Raw genomic sequence first — 19,023 nt, forward strand, 5'->3', positions numbered from 1 at the left:
ATGCTGCCAGGGAGTTGGTTATATTCACCTAAATTCCTGGTGAACTGTAATAATCTGGACAGAAACTTGTCAACCAACTATTATGTCTTGAGTTACGTATATAGGCAAATAAGGATAAAAGAAACTAAACTTTTGTTTAGGAAAATTAAAATGGCAAATTGTGCTATTCAGGACTCATTCACTCCCTTGTACACTGTACACAATATTTGAAAATGTTCAATAGTGCAGGTTTACAGTGCTGCCTCCATAAAATTACTGCTATCTTACAATGCAAAACCATCAAGACTCATAGACCATAGGCTAATTTAGGAAACTAGAGTGGTTCAGACATAATATTTAAGAATTTTCCTGAAGCATTTACAGAATGGCAACCATCAATGTTTATTAAGTACTTTATACCAAGCACTACTCAAAGTCTTTCACGTGTATTTACATATACAACTTGGCTAAAATAAAATAAAAAGTATTAAACATAACATGACAAAAAACATTTACAGAAAAAAGTGGAATAATACAGTACAAAGAATATGTCAAAATTAACTCTTAAATAGGCAACAAATTGAAGAAAGCATAAAGGGTGGATACTAAAATATTACAAAGACTAATTTTATTTTGGAAGCTTAGATGAAAGCATTTATAGAATAAACTATACATTGTCTAATTAATTTAAATCTGTTCTGTAAGTAATCATTTACCCATCATCTCCTATATGATGAAGTTTTACTGATGATGATGAAGATAAATTGAATAAAACAGGGCTGAAATCTGTATGTCAGATCACATACACATAATTCACTAACAGCAACATGAAATGAGTCATGGCAAGATGTGTCTATTGCATAGTTATTAAAATAGCATAGCAATTCTGCATACATTTATGCGAATAAAAGAAGCAGCTGTTTCACCATGTTCATAGTTAACCAAGGAGTGTTAATTTTTAGCCATCTATGGGTACAGTATTAAATGGATTTGGGGAAAAAATGCATAGAAAATGGGTGCAGGTTAGGGCCTTATTTTAGAGGTCTTTTAGTTATATAATATACAGGCTAAATAAAAATCTATAAACATAGACTTATAACAGTGTTACATCATATTAAAAATACAGGATTCTTATTCTCTAAAGAGCTTACAGCACCATTAGGAAAAATCATAAGACAGTATAGCAAAAACAGCATCTGATCCTAAGATAATCCTGGAAGGAGATGGTGAAAACTACCCACAAACCTAAAAATGTTATTAGTCTCATATACTTTTTAAAAAGGTTGTAAAGGTGGCAAATGGAAAAATAAAATCCACCTTTTCCTATTTATTTTGCTTATTTAATATAGAAAAAATGTAAAGTTACTAATATTCAGGTTTGTTGCAACTACAGTATGATTGGTGAGAATATAAAATGGTAAAAATGTTTTTGCCAAAAGTTTGGCAATATTTATCAAATATTCCCTAAAATTTGTAATAGCTTAAAATGGCTATGCTGTTAATGGAAACAGCAAAATTAAAAGTATCATCTACAGTACAATCCTGATTTTTCAAAAAGACAAAAACTATGTACCTGTCTATCATATCTAGCTAGCTAGCTAGCTATCAATCATCTATGTCTTCACTCTATAGTGATTACTCCTGGGGCATGGGTGATTATCGTTTTAGACTTTAGGCTTTTGTCAAGTTTTCCACAAGGGCATGTCATACTTTTGTAATTAGATATATTTTTAATGCAGAAACCCAAAAAACATTAGTTTAGGCTATATGATGATCCTTTGGTTCTTCTAATGGATATTTTATTTTTAAAATTCCTTTTGCAGTAAGTCATAAAAAGAATTGTACTCAGAATTGACAAAAATATAATGTTGTGAACAAATAATAATGAGTTTACCAAGAATCCTTACATTTGAAGCACATGAAACACAGACTCACACTTTGGGAGGGTGAGGCAGGTGGATCACTTGAGGTCAGGAGTTCCAGACCAGCCTGGCCAACGTGGTGATCCCCGCCCCCCCCCGTCTCTACTAAAAATACAAAAATTAGCCAAGAGTGGTGGCGGGTACCTAAAATCCCAGCTACTCAGGAGCCTGAGGCAGAAGAATTGCTTGAACCCGGGAGGTGAAGTTTGCAGTGAGCTGAGATCAAACCATTGTGCTCCAGCCTGGTGAACAAGAGCTAAACTCCATCTCAAAACAACAACAACAGACTCTACAAATTTGCTATGTTTTAAGTTACAAAAAGAGCTGAAGTCTATTTCAAATTAATTTTTTATCAATATGCAAATGAAACACATAAGTGGAATTTTAAAATGTTGTCCCACTTTGGCTCTGAGGAAGCTTGGGTTGAGCCACAAGAAAGCAGGTCTTACTATGCTCAAAGACCAAGAAGCTATCTCAGAATTTTGTCTCTCTTATCAAGTACACTACTAATCCTATTTGATCCATACTAAAACTTTGTAACCTATCATGATGCATATTTTTAAAATCTTTACAAACGTAATTCCAGACATGGATTATTTTAATACCATACATATGACATTTAGTAAAATTATAATAGATTTTTCCTCAAGTCCATGCCACTTTTCAGGAGAACTAAAGACAAAATGTGAAAGTGTCGCGGTGTCACTCAGCAATACTCACAAGATCCACTTCTCCCCCACAAACAGATCTTTATAAAACACAAATTTGTACAAATTTATAAAATTTACATCTTGGTATCTGAGCCTAGTAAGATCTGCTTTCCTATGGCTCAACCCAAACTTCCTCAGGACCAAAATGGGACATTGTAAGTGCAGTGTCCACATACTCTGACATTAAATTGCCAAACTACTATCACCATGACAATCTTTCTAGACACGAGTTTGACTTAATGAAATAAAAATGTGTTTATAGGTTTCCAGATGTATGTTAGTTAAAGTTCATAAAAGAGTGAAACACTTATGTAACAGTCACACTAACTAAAGGCTTTGGTGATATAATTTCATGTTTTATAATGTACCCAAAATTACACTTTTTAAGCTTAATTCTTTTTAATCATTTTGTTTGTTTGTTTGTTTAGACACAGGGTCTCACTCTGTCACCCAGGCAGGAGTGCAGTGACAAAATCATAGCTCACTACAGCCATGTATACTGGCCTCAAGGAATCCCCCGCCTTGGCCTCCCAAAGCACTAGGATTACAGGCGTGAACCACTGAGCCTGGCCTCTTTTTGATTCTGTAGCTCCAATGTCCTTAATTTGTAAATAATATTTATGGACATCAGTGAGATTTGTAAATACAACCACAAATAAAACCTTTCTTTTATTTGGTAAGATCCAAAGTATCATGTTTTTGGTAATAACTTATATAGTTTGACATTAATAAGAGACAGTTGAAGGAATACAGAAAATAATCAGAAAGCTTGTTCTGTGCCCTTTTAACTCAAAGTGATCCAGTTTATTTCAACAGGATAGCAGGGCTGTTGATTTTTTCATACGCTCCATATTATGCCGCAATGCCATTAGAAGAAATAGTTATCCGTGAATATCTTATGTGTTGATAAGCACTCTCTACAACAACAGTGAAAAATTCACATTGTCAACACTAGAACTGGTTATGATGCAAGAATTGTCCTAACATATAGCTAGGCTATGCATTTAGGGTTAGTCAATGCCATCTTAATGTATTTATCAAATATAATGATTCCACACACCCAATACCATGCAAAATGCTATTGTGAACATTTTACTTAATCTATTTTTATAATTTTCGCAAAGACACCAGTTGATGCCAGGTACACATCAAGTATCTCCTGCTTCTATTAAGAAGCAATGCTACTTCAATTAAGGAATAGGTTTATGTCAAAATTTTAATATTAATATTTCTTTTTAAACCTCAACTTCAAACTTTCTGTCATTAACATGTCATAAGTTTGAGTCAGAACTAGTTATTCTGAATCAATTTCTACTCTGATTTTGGGTTATAAAGTCTCTTCCACCCACATAGCCTATTATAAATTCTGGTATCCAGACACAAATAAACCCACTTCAACTTAACTACTTTCTTTAGTCTGTAAATTGACAATGAATCACTAAAAGTTTTTTTTTTTTATTTTAGTCTTTGAAAGTTGCTTGAAATTGTCTGAAGAATAAAATGAGTGTGACTATGAATTTCACTAACTCATCTTATTCACTCTTATTTCAGATGAGATCAAGCACCCTCAGGACAATATGTCTGTAGACCTATTCATTCTTACTTCACAGCAAGGTAAAACGTAAACCATTCCAAACAGGAGAGAGAATTTCACTGTTTTAAAATATGTTCAGTCAAAGAGTTAAATGTCTTATTTATGTAAATGATTCCCACAGCCAATTTATATGTAACCTACAGCCAATTCATACTTAACCTGGATCCACGGGACTGCAACTTACACCTCATTTCCTGTTCTATGCCCTTGGAAATGAAGAACAAGAACAGCTGCCTGCCACTTTTACATTCAACATGAAAGCCCCTGGTTACGTCTCTAACTTGACTTTTCCTTTCCAATCTAAACCAGGGTTATTTTCCTGTAGGCTTTTGACTTGTCCCTCTTGAATAATCGTTGAGTCCTTTTTTCCCGGTACTATTAGAATTGCTCAGCCCTTGAACTGGAAAGAGGGAGACAAGGTATGAGAATGTTAATGATGACAGGGTAAATCTATTGTTCTCTAACTAGCATGCAGTGTTTTTTTTTTTTATTGCAGGAATTATAATGCTTAACAATATGTCAAAATATTATATTATTGAAAAACAAAAAAACATTTTCACCCACCAAAAAAAGAAAAAAAAAGAATCCTATTAACACCTGATATGCAATGCCAGTTTCTACAAGTATTCTTAAAGTCCACATAATTGAGTTAAAAAAAAAAAAACCTATCATCCCCATTTCCTACCTATAGGACATTAGGAATAATGGCAACTCTATTACAGGATCATTGTAGGAATTTCAGATACTGTAAAGCAAACTTCTACCACATAGGAAGCACTGAATAATTATTTTTATCTGTCCTTTTTGAGTTCTAATGTGAACGTTTGTACAATGTAGTCATGTCTAAAGCTATGTTTAAATTACACAAAATAATTGGTTTATTTTAATAAAAGGCAAATATTTTTCTGAACAAGTTCTTCTAACATTGAAGAGATAAGAAAATCTTTTGATGTACTGATTACCTTATTGCCTGAGAGTATAATAATGAGGACAAAAAGAAAAAAATATTTAAGAGGCACATTAATGTGTATACACATTAATTTCATAAGATGTTTATTTGCATACAAAAGTAATTGTAAAAAAGAATACACATTAAGTAAAATGGGTAAAAATTAGCTAAGATAATGTTAGACACATGCATTCGCAGTTTCTATTCAGAATGCAAGCGTAACTACAAACCATGCCTGTGTTTCTGGATAAAATAAAACATAGCCAAGCTAAATTTAGGTCAATCTCATTTTCTCATTCTCAGGCAACAACAACCAAAAACAAACAAACAAAAAACATCAATACACATCTTGCAAAGAAAGAGGGGGGAAAGCCACTGATCTGGGGAAGGGAAAAATTTTACAAAGCCTCATCATTCACGTGTAACTTACTGAGTTAGGTGCTATTTTTTTTTCACCTTAACACAGAGATTGGAAAGTGTCATTAAACAAATCAGTCCATCCCTCTCTAGTTTAAAGTTGTGCTTCCTCCTAGAACCTCACAGTTCTGCCATTTTAACAAGTTAGGTCCAAATTGCTGGAAGAAAATCCTTTACGCTTTTCTGTAAAAAGCTACTCTCTTCAAATCAGCTCAAAATTCAGAAGGTAGAAGGCTTTGTTCTTGCAGGATCTCCAGGTATTCCATTTATCTTAGCACAATGCTGTATACAATAATTATCATTGTTATTATCCTTAATAATACTATAGTTTATATAGCATTTGAATTTTACAATTTGCAAGCAAAGTTATCACAAGTTAGCTATGAATGGAAGTTTAACATACGTTTCCATTATTTCACTAACTATACTGTCCCTTGAACATAAAAGAAATTATTCTTCTCTAGTTTCATCTCAGTAGCATTGTGTTATGCCAATAGCAGTGAGGAATAATCCCCAAACACCATTCTCTTGCCTTGTTAAACATACATTTTTTCTTTATTTTCTTATTCTCTGTTTGAATATGGAGAAAAATCACCTATCACAGCAGATTGAATACTACTAGGCTTAAGGGATCTCAGTGTTGATATTGGTGAGTGTCTTATTGTAGTCCTAAGCCACGATTTTTTAAAGAAATCAAATATTGATGGTTAAGGCATTTTTTAACAATCCAACAGGTTTAATGCTAATATAAGGTAATCTTTGTGTGTGGTGATGTATAGATTAATAATCCCCCTTAAATATATTTCCCTCTTCAAATTTAAAGCCATAATTATAGGATTTCATTTCATGTGTTTTATGTAGTTTGGGTCTTCTAACTTCTTGAGCCCGGTAATAAATTCACAATAGTTTTTGTTCACATCAAATAACATCCAATTTGTCAACATTTATCTTTTATTTTTCTGGGATTGCTCAGCTACATTCATTAATTGAATTTTGGAGGCCTTGATGTAATACTTTTGTGTAATGTTTTGTTTTAAGATAATCTTTTTGCCTTCATTATTTTCTGAGCATTTTTATTTTCTCTCATTCGATGTGAACAAATGATTGAGATGTATTTAATATCACTTTTCACTGGTCAAGATTTAATTATATTTTGTGATTTCAACTCCATCTAAAATTTCTGTGAAATTTGTATTTCTTCCAACAGTTATTAATAAGTCTGAAAGTACTACTCTCGCTGCTTTATTGATCCTTTGTGTCGTTCCCCTTCCCTGCATGTTGGTGTTACTTCTCTATGCTGTTAGGGTGGTCCTTCCTCCTTCACCAATCATAAAATACCTCCCTGCTATCTTCCCAACAGTCCCCATTCCAACTTATTCTCCATGACGTTATCAGAGTACTTTTCTAAAATATCATTCTGAATTATCAGTTAGGCTTACCTGAATAAAAACATAAACGACACCCCTCTAATTACAGAATGAAGAAAAACTCCTTAACAGAGAATACTAACCTCTGGCACACTCATACTCTTCCATCACCTTATTTTACCATATTTTACACGTGCCCAATACTTCTGTCATACTCATACCTTTATTCTCCACAAAACACCAAACTTCCTCAGCCATTTCCACAAATGCATGCCCTTCACAACCTGAAATGTACTCCAGCTGCTCATGAACCCCATGTTTGTTTCAAAGATCATGGCCACCAAAAAGCTTTCTGAGCCAGGAGGTGATCGTGTTTCCTTCCACCAGATCCCCTTGCTCCCTTGACTCTGACAGGTGAGCATGGCGTTTTGTTTTTTTATTTTTACATTTCTATTCCTCATCACCTCCCATTTTTCTTTTCTTTTCTTTGTCTTTTGAGACGGAGTCTCGCTCTGTCACCCAGGCTGGAGTGCAGTGGCACAATCTTAGCTCACTGCGAGCTCTGCTTCCCGGGTTCATGCCATTCTCCTGCCTCAGCCTCCCCAGTAACTGGGAATACAGGCGCCCACCACCATGCCCGGCTAATTTTTTTTTCGTATTTTTAGTAGAGAGGGGGTTTCACCGTGTTGGCCAGGATGGTCTCGATCTCCTGACCTCATGATCCGCCTGCTTCAGCCTCCCAAAGTGCTGGGATTACAGGCGTGAGCCACCGCGCCCGGCCCACCTCCTGTTTTTCAACCCCAGTCTGTATAAACATTTGCTTAGTAAGTAATCCACAAATATTTACTAAGAATGTACGATACATGAGTCAGTGTTCTGGGCACTGGGGCTTTATCAATGAACACAACACATCTTCATGGACGTTCCAGTCTGGTTGAAGAATGAATGAAACTCACAAGCTAAAATATTGTTGATTTTCAGATTTTATATTTGAAGATAAATTTCATTTAATTTATTTTCAAATATCTAATTTTGGGGAAGATAAAAAGAATAAAAGTAAAAAAAAAAATTTTATCAATCCAAAGAATCAATCTTATATTTGAATAACAAATGTGAACCATACTTTTTGTTATTTTTCTATTCTTGACCTAAGAATACTTTCAATGGAACTAATGAAATGCATTTTAATATAAATGGCCCAAGATGGCTTTTCTTTTCTACATTTAAAAAATTTGAAAGCAATTTGAACCAATTTAAACAGCATATCCCATTTTCCTCAACTTGGAATAAGCAGATTGTATTCAGGTATATTGCTATGCTATGAAAACCAATATTTTTGGCCACAGAGACATGATGATGTATAATAAAGGATTCATAATTTTCCCCATGATTTAGGCTTTCTGGTTTCATTCTTTGGAATATGGGGCGCTACGGCATCTGTCCATTCAACAACAATGAGTAGAGAATATCAATGGTTGATTGCAGCCAATTTTAGTTTTGTGTATTTTCTTGTCCTTTGCATGCAAAATTACTTTTCAGAGGGCACAATTAGTAAAATGTACATTAAATATATGTTGCCAGTTTAGTATGCTAACTTCTTCTCTCTAGAGGTTAATACATTTTCCATTCAGAATTGAGATGCTATTTATAAAATTAATAACAAAAATTCTCTAATATATTAACAGAATTTTCTGAAACTAGAATTGCAAAATGTTACAATATTATGTTGAGGTAGCACAATTATTATCAATCTCTTCTTTCCTTCCCTTATCAATCTCTTCTTTCTTTCCCTATCATCTTATATATCCTTCCTTTACTTCAGTTCTCGTGTTTGTGTTCCTCACCTTTTCTTCTGAATTTTGAAATATATTTAAGAAGCAGATTAACAAGTGATTACAATTTAATTTATTAGAAAACAACCCCAAGGAATTCAGACCAAAAATTCTATCAGTTTGGAATGTATTTACAGTTTTGTCTTAAGCATTTCTAAATAGAGTTTGCCACTATGAGATAAGACAATACTTCATTTGCAGGCTAAGTCTTTCTAGCTAAGTCCTACTTTGAATACAGTCTGTAGTCCATGAAATCCTGGCAATAAGGAAAAACAAACTGCCCCCAAATATTGTAGAACAAAACGCAACTTTTTCAAAATAGAAATAACAGTAAACACATACATCGTAGCCTTTTGAGCACCTATATATGTCAGGAATATTATGTTTTCTCTTTTAAGCTCACAAGTGCCTTATAATTAGTCTCATTTTAGAGAAATACTGAGCCTTAGAGAGCCCTATATAATACAAGTCCTGTGACCCGGAAATTGCAGACTTAGTAGTCCACATCGGCTTGCTCATTCCCCAAAGCCTCTGCCCTTAAACACTGTATATCCACTGTCTTCTACTTAGTACCTAATCCACACACAGTAGATCAAGGGAAGCCTCGAAAAAATGAGTGTGGCGTCAGACATTTCCTGTAGTGATTTTAACAGCTCTGTAGGGATATGAAAGCATGCATTACAAAATCTTAAAATATTATGTTGGTTTAGCCACAGACTCCTCTCATTGTGCCCTGTTTACAGCTCCTTTTATGAGGCTGGCTCAGCAGAAGATCCCTTGCAGGTACGGAGATGAAAGTGACATGCCTGTAAATGAGGTGATATGTGGGAAAGTGCTCACTGAGCTCAATGCCACGTACATGATATACACTCAGTAAACACCAGTTTTCTTGAATCTTTCTTTTCCTCATATATTTGAACATGGAAATGATGAAGTCAGCTTTTCTACATCACATCCCCCCAAACACCACCATCATTGCTTAGAAACAAGAAGTTTGCACTCACAATTCACTTTTACAAATAATTCTTACCTTTTAAAAGGCTTGTTTTGCTTATAATAAATCTTATGGTAGAAGGATCTATGGGCTGATTATTAGATGCTTTAAGAATAGAAACTGCAGATGTTAAAATGTTTAAAGACAAAAAGCAATCAAAAGAATATTGATAATTTGAAAAGTGTGTTAAGATTAGGTCAGTGGATGAAAGCAAAAGAGCAACCTCGGGGTTCCAGATATTTTTCAGGTTCCCTTTACTTTGTAGAGGAAGGTAAACACAACAGCAATAACAATGACAAAAAATCAGGTGAAAAATCTCTAGAATTTCAGTTACATATTTTGTAACTAATTACTGTAGAGAAACAGGAATGTATGAGGAAGCAAAATGGATTGAAGAAAGCTGGAAAAAGAAAAAAATATTGAGAGAGGAAGAAAACAAGGATGAAGAAAAGGAAGAAAGGGCGGAGAGGGAGGTGCTAATGTTTATTCTGAAGAACCAAACTATGCCTAATTCTTCTTTTGAAATCTCCGCACTTAAGGAGCATGTAGTTGATAATTGTTGGTGGGTCGAAATACAGAACTAAGGAAGAGAAAAAAGAGAAAGATACAAAGAAAAGGGAAGCAGAGTGTGGTCTGAAGTTTTGTCTCAGGTGTCATTTACAATTGCACTTTGCCTGGCTGTCGTGAACATGAAAATTAAAGACTGAGCAAAGCAGATTGTTGAAGATACTTTACTTGCAAATTTGACACTGTGTAGAAAACCAACTTGAATGATTTTATCGTATTTTTATTGTTATTATTATCATATCACTTTTTCAGGAGTTCTGTCATGATTTACACTCATGGAATTAAGTAAAATGAATTTAAATATAGTAAACTACACTAAGTTTAAATAGAAATAAAAATGAGTCCCTAAACAACAAATTTAATAAACTTCAATGTGTACCATCATAAACCAAGCATTTGCATCTGAATTAACTAATTTAAGTCTCATAGTAATAAGTATAGTTTACTGTATTTAATATAATATACAATATATAATAAATTATGTAATATAATATATATATTATATAATTATATAATACATATAAGATATATAATATATAATACATCATATTGTATTTTATTGGTAATAAAATATATTATGTATCATATAATACATATAAGATGTTATAATTATATAATATATGATATAATATATAATACAGTGTATAATATAGTTTATTATATTTAAATATAGTACAGGTAATTTCTAAGTTGCTAATGAAATAACATCCCCTAAACCAAGCATTACTTGGTTTAAGTTATAGTATGATGTCTCTTGCTCAAATAATAAGCTATAGATAATTGAGACAAAGCCTTTTATTTGACAGATGACATTCAGAACTTCTTCTATCAATGAACTATCTTATACTAATTCAATTTCCTCAATCGCATTTCAAGGAAATTAGTTTGTATAATTTATCTCACTACAAGTCCTACACAATCTGTCAGTTAAACTATTTAAATGTCCTTAAATAACACTTGCTTTCATTTGCTTTACTTAGCAGATTTTTCTACAGATCAATACAAAACACAAAGGTACATCACATAGCGTAGCATTAAGATGTTTGTTAGGGAAGTATTGAGAACTATAAGAGTGCCATTTGCTGTCACAGAATTCTAGACGTTCTAGATGAGTGAATATAATTATATCATTAGAACACTGTCTCATAGCTAATTTTTCTTCTGAGGTACCCATGCATAGAAAGCATAGCAATAAGACATCGCCCAGATATTTTAGGACAGTGGATTAAATGGTGTACTAGGATGATGTCGATTTGTTTTAAAATATTTATAAGAAAGGTTTTGAATAGTTGAGCAATTACTAAAGGAGGCTGGCATAATTGTAACACAGTCAGAGGCAATGCTCGGGTGGTGTTCTTATATATGAGAAATTTCAACGAAATTCAGTAAAAGGCAATAATAATAAGACAGATGGTTTTGGTAGAGCCTTGGCAGCTGTCAATGGAAAATATAAATCAGTGCATCCATTCCTTACAAGGTTTTCCTAGAAACTGACTGCAGAAAATTAGAATCCTGTCGGGGCCAACTAAATATGTGCCCTATATTGCTGACATAATATTCAGTTGGATATGAGCAGATTTTAATTTCATATCCTAATTAACATTGATAGAGAGCAATTTCAAAAATGTTTCACCAGGATGAACTAAGTCTACTCAGTCGCTCTCTAAAATTGGCCATGAACATTTGCATAAACAGCCTTCCGAGTCGCCTTCTTCCTTCCCCTTTCCTCTTCGCACAGCCAGCGCTGCACCGGTTGAATGAAATGATTCCGAATTACCCTCTGCCTTTCACACATTTCACGGTCTAAATTCTATGACTGTCTGTGTATCAGCAGTTTAAGGAACCATGTTTTTTGCCTATGATTTTAGGTAAGAATTTGGAAATTTTTTAAAAAGAAAGAAACGTGTGAAACCTGTTCTATGCAAACACCTCAAGATGAAAGTCTCTTTGCTATAAAAATCCTATTAACAAAAAGTTGCTAAATGTCTCTTCTCTGATAAACAGAAGACATTTGTGTCAAATATAAATGTAAACCATCATTTGTTTGTGTAATAATTTTTGTAATTGCTTCATTTCAATTTGTAAGACTCTCCCTATATTTTTCACCAATTACTCACTTCACATTACTATAAGTTAGTTTGCTGTGTAGATACCTCTAGAAAAATATTTTATTACCAAAAGTAGAAATGACGAAATTACTCCTTCCTAAACATGACTTTGGGATAGTTTTATTTTTCCATTTACAGCCTTTAATTTACTTGTATATATTTCAGATTGTTAAACATACCACTAAAAATACCAAAATCATATTATTTATAAATTATGGCCTTCTAAACATTGTGCATGTATATTTTCTTCTTGTAATTTGCAATTTTACAAATCTTAGAAAAATTATTGTATGCTTATTTTTTTCTGTAACCCTTTTTAAATTTTCATTTTTCCATCAATCATTTAAAATTTACTGAAGCCCAAAACTGCTAGAGACATAGTTCCCAGAATGGAAAAGAGATGCACAGAACAAGTTCCTTAATGACAAGAGCCATGTTTTTTTATATATCAGTGTGTAATACCCAGCATGATGCTTAGTAGAGAGTATATATAAAATAAATGTTAGGGTGTAGAAGGATAACTGAACGAATAAATAAAAATTGCTGAACGTGGTAGACAGAATAAAAAAGAAAAAGCCATTTTTATACCATTCCCATTACTACATTTTATTAGTTTGAATGCTTACCTTTAAGATTGAGGATGATAATTTACTTAATAGCCCTAAAGAAAAAAATCTCAAGGGAAAGTTGGGGTCACATGAATGGTTATTCGATGACCAGTAAATTCAATTGTGCTGGATGGTCAAGCCTTGGTCAGCACCCTTTGGGTAGAAATGGAAAAATCTCTTGCACACAACTGCCTGAAAAATCTCAATTTTGGTGTCATTCGTTTATATATTCAGTTATCCAAAAATACTTCCTAAGCACTTTCTAAATTCTAGCATTGTGCTACTAGGGAATGACCATCGCAGACATGAAAGAAATGGCCCTGCCCTCTCTGAAGGAAGGTAGCTGAGCTGTGCCTATTATTTGAAAGAAGCGAACAAATGGCCTAGAAAACCTGAGGAGACTGGATCCAATAGGTAAACAATATTGATACGAATTCTAAGGGCAATTACAAAAATTTAATGACATTATATTTCTATATTAAATATAACGTGGTCAATTTTTCTCTTAGGATTCTAGTTGGTTTCTAGAAAATATTAGTGAGAGCCAACTGGCATCTTGCTCAAAAGTAGTAATTTTATAAGGTCCAATTACTATTTTGTGACCTAACATGGATTAAGAACCTTTAAAAAAAATGGCATCATAATATTCAGGGTCAAAATCATTAAGAAATATTTGATGAAAACTTTTCATCTTTAAAATATCACGTTTTTATTTTGCTGTTCTTTTTGTACAGAATTGTATCATGTTTTCCAGTGCAGAGCGATTACCTTCCCCAGGCAAAGGCTGAACTCTTTGAGCTAAAAAGTTCCCTTAGAAAAGTTACCCCAGAAGTATGGGGAGTTGCTTCATTTATGGTTTTGATTTGTAAAACTAAGTACAAATAAAATGAGTCCCTAAACAACAAATTTAATAAACGTTAATGAGCACCATTATAAACCAGGCAATTGCATCTGAATTAATTAATTTAACTCTAATAACACGATGGTTTCAGAGGAGGCAGTGCCTTGCCCAAGGACACACAGGTAAAATGACAGTGCCTGATTTAAATACTGGCTCCCAGAGTCAGTCCATGCACCATGGAGCTGCTTCTATTATTTCGGCCCAATCTCAGTGAATTGCCTAAGACAGAAAATGTAGTTCCATTGACTTCTCCTTCCCTGTACCCAGCATCACAGTCAATTGCCACATCCGGCCCACTCCCCCACCCCAGTGTCACAATTGTGTCCTCTTTTCTACTTTCCTGGAATTATCTTTCCTAAACAGGAACATAAGCGTCCTTTCTAAAATCCTGCCTACAAGTGCCTAACCCACACCCTGGGCTTTTCTCTCGCCTGTCCACCTTGATCCAAGCAGGTATCCTTCCTGAAAGGCGCAATTTGTCTTCAAGACCTTGTTCACGCCCATCTTCTGTCTGGTATGCTCTTTAGTCATTCATTTAAAAATACCTTTAGCATCAGTTATGCTCCAGTGCTTCCCTAGTGCTGGGGAGACAGAGAGAAAAAGACAGACACGGTCCAGTTCTCATTCCTTCCCACTTCCCTTTCCTTGAGGCTGGAGCTCAGAGGCCATTTTTTTTTTTTCTCTGAGAACTTTCTCTGGTCTCTGCCACTATAAACATGTGTCCTATCCTCCTCATACCCTCACTCTAGCTCCCTGCAGTGGAAAGTCCTGGACTAGTCCCCAAGCTCCCTGAAGACAGGGACAACATCCCTCCATCCTGTGGCACTCCTCACCTCACCAAGACCCAGCATGCAGTGGGTGGCGCTCAGCAGGTACTTGCACTGAATGTGTTCTTTTTCCCCACAGGAGAATATCGGCACACTGTCACACTCTTCTCAGTATGAGGGCACTCGGAATGTCTGGACATATCAGCCATTTTGAAAGATAATATGTGGATATTATAATCTTTAGAATTCAATATGCACTGAAAGATTGTGGTGTAATGAACAATACCAGAGTAACTCAAATTTGTTCATTTGTCTATAAAAGTATATATATTTCTGTTCAAACCACAGGAATTTTTGCTTTGAACAAGAAATAGAAAACAAAATACTTCTTTGTTAATGTAAGCAGATAAACTGTGCCTTATATATTTAATCATAATTATTTTGCTTCAAATTACATTTACTGGGACTTAAGTAATTGAAGACAATAACATGCATCATAATTTAAATACCATAAATATAGCACAATTTAGGTCACTGAATATATGTCACTGACTTGGAGGGTGACCTAGACACCTGACATAAGATAATCACTCTCAAGTCAAGCAACTAAAAACAGTAATTGAAATATGTTTACAGAAGTGTAATTATCCTAGGTTTATGTTTTATGAGTCTAATTATGTAACATTAAAAATGACATTAAGTACATTTTACTGTAAGTAAATTTCATAGGTCACTTCACTATTTTTTAAAGATTTCTCAGCGCTTACTCTTACAGATGATATGCAGTCTCCTTAAATTTGCATATATATCATCAATAATTGACCCTCAAGTGAGCCAAAAACCTATCAATGCTATCAGTACTTGTTATTTCAGACATGTTTGTCTATGCATTGTGTCACTTCTATGCTTACGGAAGAAGCATAGATGATATTTTAGGATGTCCAAGATAATTTTACTCCTTAATAATTGGAAAATAAACACATGCATTCCCCACTCTCCCAGGAGCTCTTTTGTTCTTACAGAGGGATAGAAATGGAGGGAATATAATCCACTGCAGAGTTTATCTGCCTTCTTATGACCCTTGCTTTATTCCATCAGAAAAAAAAGCATGGTTTCAAAATGTCTAACTTACATGAGTAAATAAATATTAAATTGAGAAATGGGATGCTTTATTTAATCCTATGTGCGGTTACCTTCAATTAGCGATCACAGGAGCAAATGTACACAGAAATAAATTATTTTCTACAATCTTGGAAGTCTTGAATATACATTTTGCAAGTGTCTTCTTAATGAACTGGTAACAATTCTCACTAGTGTTGGTGCTGGCCTTCACCTGTGGCTTCTTCCGCCCAGATCCCTAAAGCCTGTGGGCTGTTAATCACAAAATCACGGAAAAAATATGATGCACCAAATTAAAAGGTCAATCCCAACATCTGTAGGTTTAAAAAAAGTGTTGCCTTAAATATTTTCTTACTGTCATTCATAGTTCTAAATAAGATTTTGTAGAATTATATAGAAAGAAACGAAGAAAGATTCAGAAACCTCATCCCTTTTGTAACAGTTTCAGATTGCAAGCATTTGAAGGAAGCATATAAACCTCGAAGTGACCTAGAGAGAAAAAGCAATGGTTGGGAAGGCACATGCGTTTTAGAGGGCTGACCTAGATTCCAATACCAAAGACTCTGCTGTGCTCCTGGGTTCTGTTGCCTACAGTTTTAAAATATTCTGTGCCTTCAGGTAATTTAATGTAGTCACTACTGATGTGGCTTAAATATTGACCTTTTCAATTGTGAGGAAGATGAAATACTTGCAGTATTTATGAAAACATTAAAAGACGGAAATGTTAAAACATTCTAGATCAAATTAAAGAAATTACATCAGAAAAGAACCCCAGAAAAAAAATGAACATTCAGACACACCTATTTTTTTAAAAAGCCAATTACATATTTTGTCCATTTCTTAATCTCTCACGTAACTTAGAAATGATAAGAAAATATGATGAGCTTTGAACAGCAAGGGACTGTTAATTTATCTTTAAATATGGTGTCAAAATGTGACATCTGGTCAGAAAAGCAAAAAATGTCTATACATAAGGTTGATTCAATACACTAAGTTGATGAGAAAAGTTGAAATGTACTTTCAGAATAATTCTTCAAAAAGTCACTCCATAATCCCTGACCTAGGATTATGATAGTTTCCAATGAAACTGAAATCTTTGCATTTTATTTACCAAATGTTTCTCCAACCAACTACAAGAAACGGAAAACAGACTTTTTAATAGCTGTTTTGTTTAAACCCCAAGAGTTTCAATGCAATAAATCAATAACATATACTTAAAAACCCCTGATTCATGGGCATCATGCTTCATTTCTTTTCTTTCTAAATCATTCTTATAAATTAAATTACATTTGCTGGTAGACATTCTATAATTCTTCTTCAAAGTTAAAACAATTTTTGGCTGGTCCATCTTATTTTCTATTTTGGTGAATTCCAATGTGTTTGAAACTCTAAATATCACGCCAGTAGACACTTATTAAAATACCAAATACTGACATGCACTTCTAAAAGTACATAATAGTATATTCACATTCTTTCATTATTAATCCCTTAATGACTTATCCTTTTTAAATTCAACTATAAAATATTCAGTATGTAAATATGATTATATTGATATGAAAATGTGTTTATTCAGCTTCGTAAAAGTTTGTATTGTTGCAAAATATTATTTTCAATATCTAAGATATAATATGCACAACTAAATACCAACTATTACCATGCATAAAAATATACTGTCATGCATTTTTGTATAATATTACTACACCTGGATGACTCTGCAAGAACTAATAAAATCAAAGCAGTAAAAACAAAAGGCTTAACACTTCAAATAGGGGAACTATTTGCAAATGTCTAAAATGACACACCAATATGTGAAAATTTTCAATGCTGATGAGCATTAGTTTTCAACAACAGGAAAAGTCATTGAGCCAGTAGATGGCTGCCAGCCAAGAAGCACTTGTAGATTTTATATTATTCTTTCCACACTGCATTACCTAACTATTGTGATAACACGGAAAATGTACCAATGATAAATGAACTCAAAATATTTCAATGTGGTTCCTTCTACAAATAATAATTTATGCCAGAAGCAAATGTTATCTGGTGAGTTCTAGGTCTCTCTCATTAACAGGCTGTCTGATTTAGGAAAATTACTTTTTTCTCTTCAGGCTTCATTTAGTTTATTTATCAAAGGGGACCATAATGACTGCTAATTTGCAGGGGTATTGTAAAACGCAAATGTTTTTGCAGTCTAGATATATACCCCATGGGGAACAGCTCACACGGACTACCATATAAATGACTGTACCAAACAATGTTTACAATGAAATCTTTATGATATTTATTTAGATTGCCAAGCCTAAGTAACAGACAGAGAGGAAGACTATAAAAGAAAATTATATTTATTTGGAAATAGGCATTGCAATGGGAATATATGTGAGTGTGTTCCAGGAGGTAAAGGGAGGCAAGAATCTTTAAGAGAAAAATGAGGAGGGTTACATAAGTTGTTGTGAGACAATTATACTTGGCTACAAGAATCGATAACAAGGGTGGCATCAGTCCAAGGTTGGACAGGCAGTTGCGGGGCCGATGCACTCACAGAAGTATATATATTTTTGTAAGGTTGCAGTAGCCTTTGTGGGTTATAGGTTTTGCAGAGTCTTTTGTGGCAGCCTTGTTATCAGGCATACATGAGTGAGAATCCTCTCTTCTTAACCTTTCTCGGCTCCATCTGTCAGGCTTGAAACACAAGTGACTCCATTCTAATTCTGACAACTTTTAAAAGATTCTTCCATATGAAAGGAATATCTATCTTTTTCCCCTAGAGAATATAAATTTCACTTAGTTTTTTGCACATTTTTCCCAAGATTTGTCCTACTTTTGGCTTATTAAAATCTGTCTTTCCTTCTCCTGACTTCCTGCACAACAGGGTAATCTTAACTTCAATAGCTCTTCTTGCTATGCACATCAACTATGAACAGAGGCTTTTACAGAAACACTGATGACTCGAGAAAAGAAAGTGTAGCTGAAAGAGGGAGTGATCTTTCTTATCTGTATTTTCCTATTTGCGCAACTTTTAGCTGTGATCAAATTTCCACTATACAGATTTAAAAAAAAAAAAAAAATGACTGCTTAGATAGATTAGGAGAACAAAGTGGAAAGCTATGCAGTAAAAGAAAAGGCAGTTTGGAAGTTTACTTCCCGATATCTCACAAAATGTATCTCCCTGCCTCAGATCATAATATTACACAT

At 33.9% G+C, this 19,023-nt stretch overlaps 1 protein-coding gene and 1 long non-coding RNA gene across 2 annotated transcripts in view, besides 1 other annotated feature; both read right to left on the reverse strand.

Moving 5' to 3' along the window:
- Positions 1-19,023, reverse strand: part of NALF1 (NALCN channel auxiliary factor 1) — a 703,987-nt gene that overhangs the window by 626,280 nt on the left and 58,684 nt on the right. The window lies entirely within an intron of this gene.
- The window catches only part of NALF1-IT1 (NALF1 intronic transcript 1), a 48,098-nt gene that overhangs the window by 2,429 nt on the left and 26,646 nt on the right, over positions 1-19,023 (reverse strand). The window lies entirely within an intron of this gene.
- Positions 574-743: an enhancer, noted in NCBI's record as "experimental_31956 CRE fragment used in MPRA reporter constructs". NCBI's record gives its function as "activates a minimal promoter by MPRAs in K562 erythroleukemia cells, with activity observed for the introgressed 13:108442796 variant allele {active_cell/tissue: K562}" and the evidence as "EXISTENCE:reporter gene assay evidence [ECO:0000049][PMID:34662402]".

Source organism: Homo sapiens, chromosome 13 (genome assembly GCF_000001405.40).
Source record: "Homo sapiens chromosome 13, GRCh38.p14 Primary Assembly".
NCBI lineage: Eukaryota > Metazoa > Chordata > Mammalia > Primates > Hominidae > Homo > Homo sapiens.